Source organism: Homo sapiens, chromosome 12 (assembly GCF_000001405.40).
Source record: "Homo sapiens chromosome 12, GRCh38.p14 Primary Assembly".
Taxonomy (NCBI): domain Eukaryota; kingdom Metazoa; phylum Chordata; class Mammalia; order Primates; family Hominidae; genus Homo; species Homo sapiens.
In genome coordinates, this window is record NC_000012.12 from 95,137,278 (window position 1) to 95,149,612 (window position 12,335).

Below are 12,335 nucleotides of genomic sequence, written 5' to 3' on the forward strand. Positions count from 1 at the left end.
TCAAAAAAAAAATTCTTTCCAAGTCAAAATATTCCCATGTGCAATAACAGATTTTCAAAATTAAGTCATGTACATTCTTGAGTTCTCACCATTTAAATTGTTCAATTCCATCTTTGATTTTGAAGGGATTACTTTTTAACTTTTTCTTTGTTTGCAAGCTTTGTTTTCAATGACTGCAACTTGTTATTAAAGCTTCAACAACAAAAAGAAAGAGAAGTGTTCAACATTAGATAGTAGCAAATACCTCAAATTCTCTAACAACAGCAGCAAAACCTGGATTTTTCTTGCACTGTTCATCCAGCAAGGCTATATTCTTATCAAATTCTTTGATGTATGTGGAATACATTTTTAGATATGGTCCCTTCTTTACAAAGATATCAGCAATTCTTTGTTGTTCAGTCCTATGGATAGAGAAGAGATACACAAAAAAATATAAAGAGAGATTGATGAACATATGCAATGATACGCAGAGTCCACATCTAAGCCGCCAACTTATCTTTTTTTCTCTTCTTGTAAGACATACCTCAAAATGCCTACTTTTCACCATTTCCACTGCCACCATCCCATCTTGCCTGGACTCTAACTGGTCTCCCTGCTTCCATTCTTGCCCTCTCCAAACCATTCTTCAACACAAGGAGAGACTCTTAAAAAATGTTTACCATGGCTGGGTGCAGTGGCTCATACCTGTAATCCCAGCACTTTGGGAGCCGAGGTGGGCAGATCACCAGAGGTTAGGAGCTCAAGACCAGCCTGACCAACATGGAGAAACCCAGTCTCTACCAAAAATACAAAATTAGTCGGGCATGGTGGTGCATGCCTGTAATCCCAAGACAGGAGAATTGTTTGAACCCGGGAGGGGGAGGTTGCAGTGAGCCGAGATTGTGCCACTGCACTCCAGTCTGGGCAACAGAGCAAGATTCTGTCTCAAAAATAAATAAATAAATAAATAAATAAATAAATAAATAAATAACTCACTCACTCCTTGGATGGGCACGATGGCTCACGCCTGTAATCCCAGCATTTTGGGAGGCCGAGACGGGCAGATTACTTCTGATCAGGAGTTTGAGACCAGCCTGGCCAACATGGTAAAACCCTGCCTCTACTAAAAATACAAATATTAGCTGGGCATGGTGGCAGGCGCCTGTAATCCTAGGTACTTGGGAGGCTGAGGCAGGAGAATCGCTTGAACCCGGTAGGTAGAGGTTGCAGCGAGCCGAGATTGTGCCCACTGCACTCCAGCCTAGGCGACAGAGTGAGACAATGTCTCAAAAGAAAAAGAAAAAAAAAAAAAAACTTCTTACCTGGCATACAAAGGCCTGCCCTTTCTGACCCCTGTCACACTTCTCTTCCTCTTCCCCATTTCTCTCCCACCACACTGGCCTTCTTTATCTTCTTTGGAGACATGGAATTCATTTCCACTATGCAGACTTCCACTAATGGTTCTACATGCCTGGAAATATAGAACCCTGGCTGGCTGCTCCTTTCCTTTCAGATATCACTGTAAATATGCCACCTTCACAGAGGGCTTTCCCTGACCACTCAAGCTTCATTTGCTACCACAGCGTCCTATTTCAGGTCTCTGCAACTCAGAAACTGCTTCTGGTAGTTTTCTTGTCTATTTATCTGGTCCTTCCCCTACTAAATGTCTGCTCCATGAAAGCAGGATGTCTGTTTTGTGCACTGTGATATCCTCTGCATACTTAAGAGCACAGACTAGCACATAGTAGATATGCAAACCTTCTTGAATGTGAAAATAAAATATTTCATCAATTGTTGTTAAAAGCCAATGGAAAAATGTTATTTCAGAAAGTCAACTAACACCAAAGAATATGTATTGACTTGAACCCTAAGAGAAAAATATTTTAATAAATAGAAAATTAGGCTAGGTGCAGTGGCTCATGCCTGTAATCCTAGCACTTTGGGAGGCTGAGGCGAGAGGATCACTTGAGCCCAGGAGCACAAGACCAGCCAAGGAAACACAGGGCAACCTGTCTCTACAAAAAATTAAAAAAATTAGCCAGGCGTGGTGGGGCACACCTGCAGTCCCAGCTACTTGGGTGGGTGAGGTGGAAGGATCACTTAAGCCTAGGGAAGTCAAGGCTGCAGTGAGCCATGGTCACACCACTGAACTCTGGCCTGGGCAAGAGGTGAAAATCTGTCTCAAAAAAAAAAAATCGGAAGCAAATAAGCCCCAATTTTTTTTTTTTAACTTAAGAAAAAAAAAAAGATTTGTTTTTTAGTAGAGACAAGGTTTCACCATGTTGGCCAGGCTGGTCTCAAACTCCTGACCTCAGCTTATCTGCCTGTCTCGGCCTCCCAAAATACTGGGATTAAAGGTGTGAGCCACAGCGCCCAGCCAGTTATATTTTATTTCTATCATGACTTTTTTTTTTTTTTTAAAGGAGTCTCGCTCTGTCACCCAGAATGGAGTGCAGTGGCACAATCTCGGCTCACTGCAGCCTCCGCCTCCCAGTTCAGCCTCCCGAGTAGTTGGGATTACAGGCATCTGCCATCATGTCTGGCTAATTTTTGTAAGTTTACTAGAGACGAGGTTTTGCCATGTTGGCTAGGCTGGTCTCGAGCTCCTGACCTCAAGTGACCCACCCGCCGCAGCCTCCCAAAGTGCTGGGATTACAGGCATGAGCCACCGTGCTCGGCCTATCACGACCTTTAAAGACTACATTTTAGTCATTTCTCAGTCCTAAATTGTGTATTATTTTATACTTAGGCTACGGCTATGTATTAATTGCTTATCTGCCATATTTACCCAACATATAGAGGCAAGATATTTCCAAAACAAGCAGAGGTATTTTTCTGGTTTATATATAAAGAAAGCTTAGAGAAATTTTGAACATGAAAGTAGGTGATACTATTTTCTTATTCTAATCATGTTGTGTTCCCCATGGTTTTCAACAGTAAATTCAATCCTCCTACACCCATCTTTCTACATTATTTCCACAGAAGTCACCAAGCCTCTGCATACTTATTTTCTTCAGCCTAGTGGAAGTAGCTTCCAATACCAACCTTTTGGTATTCTTTTCCTATTCTTAAATCTACAGCTTCTACAAGCATGTCATACATATATAAATTTGCCTTTCTTTGGGAGGCCAAGGCGGATCACCTGAGGTCAGGAGTTAGAGACCAGCCTGACCAATATGATGAAACCCCGCCTCTACTAAAAATACAAAAATTAGCCAGGCATGGTGGCATGCGCCTGTAATCCCAGCTACGCAGGAGGCTGAGACAGAAGAATCACTTGAACCTGGGAGGCAGAGGTTGCAGTGAGCTGCGATCGTGCCATTGCACTCCAGCCTGGGCAACAAGAGTGAAACTCCATCTCAAAAGAAAAAAAAAATTGCTTTTCCAAAACAACCATCCTATTATTTCAGTGAACGGCCTCTTTTTCAAAACTGGAAAGGGAGTTTCATGACCTGCAGCTCCAGAAGGTAAATAAAACATTTAGAAACTATTCTAATGTGAATATAGCATATAGCATCTATCTACACTGAATCTCAAAAATCTTGATTGCCCAAGTTCACCTATAGAAATTTAAATCGGCTGCATCTTGCTTCTGAGGCAGGATTACGAAAGATTTGTTTAAAATAATAGTATTGAGCTTGGTGTGCCAAGGTTGTGAATTTTGGGCCATTGAAAATAATCAATCTGGTCAGGCATGGTGGCTCACACCTGTAATCCCAGCACTTTAGGCAGAGGCAGGCAGATCACCTGAGGTCAGGAGTTCGAGACCAGCCTGGCCAACACGGTGAAACCTCATCTCTACTAAAAATACAAAAAATTAGAAAGGCGTGGTGGCACACGCCTATAATCCCAGCTACTCGGGAGGCTGAGGCAGAAGAAACGCTGGAACCCGGGAGGCAGAGGTTGCAGTGAGCCGAGATTGTGCCACTGCACACCAGCCTGGGCGACAGAATGAGAATCTATCTCAAAAACAAAAAACAAACAAAACAAAATCAATCTATGGATAACTGCAAAGACAATATATTCAAACAACTCAATGTAATGAAAATATATCTCTGTCACATGTGGGGCCCTTATGGCTTCATCTAAAATTGGAAACACTAGGAAAATCTGAAAACGGTCCATTTTTACCAGTGCAACATTCTTTCCTCCAGTTCCTTCAAGAGATCCCGGTTGAGCTCATACAGCTGAGGCAAGTAGTATAGGATCTGATTTAGAATCCGGTCCTCAATCACTGGTTTCCCAAGTTGCCTGGAAGCATGAGCTACTGCATCCCGGAAATCCTATTACAGTCCAGAGCAGGAAAAACAATACACACACATGTAACTTGATAACAAGCTTTTATCCTCAGTCCCCCTCCTCCCTAAAATGATACAGATTGCACAGCTGTATTTCTCATGCAGAATTACAAATCTAAAGTACCCCCTTCCTCCTACCCCACTCACCTAGATAGGAAATTAAAAATAAAAAATAGTGAGACGATTATTTGATTTTCAAACATACTATATGATATTTATCTTAAACCTTTTAGTTTGATCTCTAAACTTAGCAATTATACTAAGCGAGTGTCTGGAAATTGTAATGCAATTCTAAATAGTCTTTAGAATTATTCCAATACCATCAATATAAACACAATCCATTTATTTTAAAAGTTCCCAGGAGATCTTAGCTAATTTTATTCTGGATTTAAGAGTCCCACTGTCCACTTTCAGTCATCATTTCCCAACAACTGGAGCATCCTAGGTGAGGCATGTGGAGAGAGGCACGTGTTGTGGGTCTCCCTCTGTCATCCAGGATGGAGCGCAGTGGCCCAATCTCAGCTCATGGCAACTTCCCGAGTAGCTGGGACTACAGGCGCGTGCCACCATGCCAGGCTCACTTTTGTATTTTTTTTTTTTTTTTTGAGATGGAGTCTCGCACTGTCACCCACGCTAGAGTACAGTGGCGCGATCTTGGCTCACTGCAACCTCCGCCTCCCGGGTTCAAGCTATTCTCCTGCCTCAGCCTCCCGAGTAGCTGGGATTACAGGTGCCCACCACCACACCCAGCTGATTTTTTGTATGTTTTTAGTAGAGACGGCGTTTCACCATGTTGGCCAGGCTGGTCTCGAATTCCTGACCTTCTGATTCGCCCGCCTCAGCCTCCCAAAGTGCTGGGATTACAAGTGTGACCCACTGCACCCAGCCCATTTTTCTATTTTTTGTAGAGACAAGGTTTCACCTTGTTGCCCAGGCTGGTCTTGAACTCCTGAGCTCAAGAAATCCTCCCACTAGGGCCTCCCAAAGTGCTGTGATTATAGGCATGAGCCACCGTGCCTGGCAGGCACATGCTTGATAATCAGAATCCTGGATCCAAGCCTTTGCTCCTTATTTACTGTGTTTCCTTGGGCCAGCCTGATTTCCCTCATCTGCTAAATGAGTATAATACTAGTTATGAGACTTTAATTAGATATTGCACATAAAACTTTTTTTGCAATGCAGTTGGCACACAGAATGAAACATTTTAACTCTGGACCTGAAATTCTCCCCTCCCTCTTGTCAACCTCTCAATAAATTCACCAGGGTTTACACTTTTCACAAATAAGAATCTTTCTCTTCACCTATTATTTTTCATTTACTGTTCTCTAGACTATCTGTACCATGTTTTAATATAGGTCAATATCACCGCACCCTATTACTCCAGAGCACTTGGAAAGGGTGGGGTAGGAGATAAGTATTTGCCTAGATTTCATTGTCCCCTAAGGGTGGGCCTCAAGATATAAGTAAAACAGAGTGAAATCTGTTCCACAGTCCTGAGGATTCAAAAACAAAGATTTTTTCCTTTTTAGAAACAGCAGTTTTAATTAAAATCTGAAAGCAAAGTTTGGGTAAATGACTAATAGGCCTTATCTTCCCTTACCTTTATTTCCAACTGCTTTCCCTTCAGGGATTTACCGGGCAAATGAAATCAACCAAAAAAGTATACTGTTCCTTCCAATGATCCTTTCAACACCTGCCCCTAACATACATATATTAACCATGAGGTTTGTTTTTTTTTGTTTTTTTTTTTTTTAACTCTGGACAACCAAAAACCTCATAGATAACTTAAAGTATATGAAAGGATTCTTTTTCTAAAGGATGGCTATTTTGAAGAAGTCCAGTCCTCTTATGCTTAATCAATGCTAAAAAACCTTTCACTTAGGACTCAGTACCTGGGACTAAGTTTATTGATCCCACAGTCACATTAGCCCAAAGGAGCCAACTACTCACACCAGTAACTAAAGGACTAACTTGTATACCTAATTAGTATCATATAAAATAAGAGCATTTAATTCTCATAGTATTATAAGCTCTAATCCAGAAAACCACTCAGAACATCTCCAGAAACCAAATGGATATCAGCCATATTTCACCTCCCAACAGCTTGCTTCAATCAGCACTCACATTTACTAAGAGAAAATAGAGCCACTTAACACTTTTGAAAATCATTAGGCTGTCTGCTATCATGCAGGGCTATAGAATACATTTACACATCATGAATAATGTATTCAAAGCAGAATAGTTAAACATCCTCTATGGTTATCTTTTTTGCTTTTGTTTTGACCAGTTTAGTGATTAATATAATCTGGATGCAAGAGTTCCTTGCTCAGCAAAGCAATAAGCGCCACCCTTTCTTCTGGTGGAGTAAGTAATGGCTATATTTGTCTCCTGGCAGCAGGATAACTTTTGTTTCCCAGTTGGAAGGTATTTCCTCTGCCATGACAGTGACAGTGATGTTAGCTGCTAAGTAACTTAAGGACCCGGTTTGACACAGCTTTTGCCAGACCCTGCATTCCATATGTCTGCCACCATTGCCAAAAAGGGAACTTGTTTATTTAAGACGCATTTAACAGAGACCAGCCAAATACAAACTGAACTGACCAGTGAGATGGCTGCCTCTAAATGGAGGCCCTTGTCACACACCAGGCAAAACTCTGCTTTTCCCAGTACTACTGGATGTTTTCAGGTAGCTCGGAATGGACTGATGGCCCACAATGTTTTCTTTTAAATTAAAAGCAGTATGTCAGAATAAAATAGAAATTTAATAATTAAAATAGCAGAAGTACACTTAATAAAGGCTATAAGAATTTTGAGAGTATATATCCATGAAACCCACAGAGTTACTTTTTTTTTTTGAGACAGAGTTTCACTCTGGTTGCCCAGGCTGGAGTGCAATGGCGTGATCTCAGCTCACCACAACCTCCGCTTCCCGGGTTCAAGCAATTCTCCTGCCTCAGCCTCTTGAGTAGCTGGGATTACAGGCATGTGCCACCACACCTGGCTAATTTTGTATTTTTAGTAGAGACAGGGTTTCTCCATGTTGGTCAGGCTGGGCTCGAACTCCCAACCTCAGGTGATTCACCTGCCTCGGCCTCCCAAAGTGCTGGGATTATAGGCATGAGCCACGGCGCCCAGCTTACTTTTTTTTTTGAGAAAGAGTTTTGCTCTTGTTGCCCAGGCTGGAGTGCAGTGGTGCAATCTCAGCTCACTGCAACCTCCACCTCCCGAGTTCAAGTGATTTCTCCTGCCTCAGCCTCCCAAGTAGCTGGGATTACAGGCGCTTGCCACCACGCCTGGCTAATTTTTGTATTTTTAGTAGATACGGGGATTTCACCATGTTGGCCAGCTGGTCTCGAACTCCTGACCTCAGGTGATCTACCTGCCTCAGCCTCTGAAAGTGCTGGGATTACAGGCGTGAGCCACCGCACCCGGCCTTTTTTTTTTTTTTTTTTGCGACAGAGTCTCGCTCTGTCGTCCAGGCTGGAGTGTAGTGGTGCGATCTCAGCTCACTGCAACCTCCGACTCCCAGGTTCAAGCCATTCTCTTGCCTCATCTCCTGAGTAGCTGGGATTATAGGTGTGTGCCACCACATTTGGCTAACTTTTTGTATTTTTAGTAGAGATGGGGTTTCACCATGTTGGCCAGACTGGTTTTGAACTCCTGGCCTCAAGTGATCTTCCTGTCTCAGCTTCCCAAAGTGTTGGGATTACAGGCGTGAGCCATTGTGTCCAACCAGAGAATTACATATTCTAAGTAAGCACTCGGCAAAGATTCTGTACTGGTCAGGTTCCTGAATCTTTTCTTAGGCCCATCTGTGCACTTTCTTGTAAAATCCAGTTTTAGCAAGAACCTCCCACCCTTTATATTGTTCGGGTTCTTCATCCTCTACCATTGCCCAGGTGATGTATGATCACCCTGGCTGGTCCGTCTTCAGCAAGAATCCTCTTAAGTTGGTTTAGCCAGAATCTCCCCTGCTCCTGAAGTTTCTTGTTAGTAATTTTCCATCCACTAACGCCCACTTTGCTCCTCCTTGGCTATAAATTCCCACTTGCCCGTAATATATTTGGAGTTGAGCCCAATCTCTCTCCACTACTGCAAAATCCCATTGCAGTGGTCCCTATGTCTGTTGTTTTTTGTTTTTGAGATGGAGTTTTGCTCTGTCGTCCAGGCTGGAGTGTGGTACGATCTCGGCTCACTGCAACCTCTGCTCTTGGGTTCAAGCGATTCTACTGCCTCAGCCTCTCGAGTAGCTGAGATTACAGGCATATGCCACCACGCCCAGCTAATTTTTATATTTTTAGTAGATATGGGGTTTCACCAGGTTGGCCAGACTGGTCTCGAACTCCTGACCTCAAGTGAACCACCCACCTTGGCCTCCCAAAGTGCTGGGATTATAGGCACGAGCCACTGCGCCAGGCCCCCTATGCCATTGTGATAGTCCTGAATAAAGCCTGCCATACTGTGCTTTTGCTTCAACAAGTGTCACTGAATAATTGGGCTCCACTCCCAATTTTGGCCTCCATAACCACATGCAGCAGCCCTGGCCCCAGTCTCATTCCCTCACCTCTTGGGCCACCATTTCCTGACAGCTGTGTGCTACAGCCCCAATGCCAGATGTAACTAATTCACACAGGAACCACACGCAGAATCTTTAACTTCTCAGCTCTTCACGAACCTCAGCCATTGTCAAAACTGGTGCCACTGGGAGGAGGTGACATCTTTTTTTTATAAAAGGATTATTACAACATATGTCTGGTTATTTTTCTAAATGTTAACAACCAGGATAATTTGGGAAAGTGTGATGACACTTAAAAGCCAGAGGCAAAGCTATTTTGAGGCAGAAGAATCTAAATTCACTAACACCTCCTTGACAAAATCGGTGAGGATGCAAGACAGCAGGATTAGCTCTTCAAAAGTTAGATCCAGAGTTTAATTTTTCACACTGGAAAAGCTGGGTAAATAAAATATTAAAATAGTGGGGGGAGGAGTTAAGAGTGTGAAAATGTTAGTTAGCTATAGAGTTTGTTAGCATCAAGTACCTCGACTTCATCCTTACAACAAAACCTACCAAAGATTCTGCATGCAAAATTGAACCACCTACACTGTAGTTTCTGGTCATAATAACCAAATGCTTGTTTAATGTGGAATTTGTAGAGCTAGAAATGGGCCTCTGAATTATGAAGCATATGATAATATTATTCTTACTAATTCCCCAAAACCTACAAATCAGAATCAGATTAACTTTAAGTTGATCTTTAATTCTTTTGAGATATTAACATACCAGCTTGGCCAGCTCGAATCACTTAGGGAAGACCTAAGCAAAAAATCAATGCAAATAAAATCAAGTATGAGCATCTGAGGCAATGAAGCACAAAACAGATGGCCTTGTTCATGGGGTCAGGTTTTATATCTCCAGCACCAATGAGGGGTATGTGACTTAATTACCAGCTGTCCTGACCCAGCTGCCTGACCTCAGGGCATTACTGAACTACTATCATGACACAATGAATTACAAAGACCAAATGAACATATGGACAGACATGGAGCCCTACAAGGTTCCCTGTCCTCATGAAGGACACCAGGAATCACTTCACTTTAAGCAAAAGCAAAGCAGCTGTGGAGGTCAAAGTGCTATGATAAATATGCAGAAATGAGTGTGAAACTATGGAGTAAAAGTAGAGGTGGGAAAGTCCCCACATTAACCATTTGACTTTGTTTTTAAAATAAAAATATTTTCCCAATGAAATTATTCTTCCCTCTCTATATGTAGACCCAGTGATACGGTATATAATCATCAGTGGTGCATAATCATCAATGCAAAACTGTAGAAAACATAATTGAAAGCAATCTTTTATGTCTAGTTTCCAATCTCCTTTAATAACACTAACAAGTAATCATCATAATAACTCTAAGTGACCAAAATCTAGCTTCATTGTCATCTTTAGAAGATGAAAAATAAGTTTCTCTGGTTTCCAGGGCAACTAAAAGAATTCTGAAAGCAAGCTAATATATCCAAAGATACACTATATCCTATACAGCATGGTAGAGATTTCAAGTAATAATTTTCAATCAATTGCTAAAGAACAACTAAGTACAAGGGCTCAGACAGACCAGACTTGAAAGTCTGGTTTTCCTATTAAGTAGTGGGTTATTTTTGACAGTTAGCTTACTTTCTTCATTGAAAAAAATAGGAATAACATCTATTTGACAGGGTTGTTACGAGGATTAAAACAGATAATTGATGTAACATAGCATGCTGCAAGGAACATAGAGAGCACTTAATAGAACACCATTTATTTAACTAAAGGGGATTTGGTTAAGTTAAATGATTAGATGAACATCATTTAAGATCCACAAGTCACCTTCCCTCCCTCTCTCCACAAGTCCCTGAAGGCTTGGAAAGACAGCTGTGAAACAGAGGCATCTAAAGAGAAGGAAATACCAAACCAAGGTAGGGAAAACACCTCAGCAGCAAAACAAAGGTACTCTGAACAATGAGCTTCATTCAGTGAAGAACAGTTCTCACATGAAAGAAGCTGCTCCAGAGTGAAGGTTTGGTAGCCATGTCAACAGAAGCTAGAGAAAGATTCTTTACAACTAAAGAAAAAATGCTGAAAATGGTTCACAAGACTCAAAAGTCAGGGTGTATTCAGTGAAACAGCATGAAGTGATTTTAACATGGAAAAAAAAATGAGAACTGAGAAAGTCTTCTATTCCTTTTACAATGCAAAAAAAAAAAAAAATCTATTTAGTAACAGACATCTGGATCCAGGCCTAGGGTAGCCTTGCCTCTGGCTCTATGGATTTTATTGAGTCTCTCAAATTTTCAAGGAAATGTACGTCTCCACCTAAAGAAATTAGTGAAGCAAAGATGCTTCATTACTAATACTATATAGCCAGTCCATCTTTGTCTAAAAAATCCCTTCCAAATATATATATAATATAATATATAGCATATATTATATTATATATTATATAATATATAGCATATATTATATTATATATTATATATTATATAATACATAGCATATATTATATAATACATAGCATGTTATATATATTATATAATACATAGCATATGTTATATTATATATATTATATATTATATAATACATAGCATATGTTATATTATATATATTATATATTATATAATACATAGCATATGTTATATTACATATATTATATATTATATAATACATAGCATATGTTATATTACATATATTATATATTATATAATACATAGCATATGTTATATTACATATATTATATATATTATATAATATATAGCATATATTATATATATTATATAAGATATAGCATATATTATATATATTATATAAGATATAGCATATATTATATATATTATATAAGATATAGCATATATTATATATATTATATAAGATATAGCATATATTATATATATTATATAAGATATAGCATATATTATATATATTATATAAGATATAGCATATATTATATATATTATATAAGATATAGCATATATTATATATATTATATAAGATATAGCATATATTATATATATTATATAAGATATAGCATATATTATATAATATATAGCATATATTATATATTATATAATATATAGCATATATAATATTATATATTATATAATATATAGCATATATAATATTATATATTATATAATATATAGCATATATATTATATAATATATAGCATATATATTATATATTATATTACATATAGCATATATAATATTATATATAATATATTATATTATATAGCATATATTATATAATATATTATATAATATATAGCATATATTATATTATATATAGCACATATTTTATATATATAGCATATATTACATAATATATAGCATACTATATAATATATAGCATATATTATATATAATACATAGTATATTATACATCACATAGTATATATCACATATATTATACATAATATATAGTATATTATATATAGTTTTATATAGTATTATATATATATAATATATATAGTATAATATGTATAAGAATCCCTTGAGCCTAGAAGTTCAAAACTGTAGTGAGCTGATTG

The 12,335-nt window shown here is 38.9% G+C and overlaps 1 protein-coding gene across 1 annotated transcript in view; it reads right to left on the bottom strand.

The window, feature by feature from the left end:
* Positions 1-12,335, bottom strand: part of FGD6 (FYVE, RhoGEF and PH domain containing 6) — a 140,719-nt gene that overhangs the window by 60,529 nt on the left and 67,855 nt on the right. The window contains exons 6-7 of the mRNA NM_018351.4: positions 4,111-4,262; positions 245-401 (exon numbers count right to left, since the gene is read on the bottom strand). Coding sequence (NP_060821.3) covers positions 245-401; positions 4,111-4,262 — 309 coding nt within the window. The remainder of the gene's footprint in view (positions 1-244; positions 402-4,110; positions 4,263-12,335) is intronic.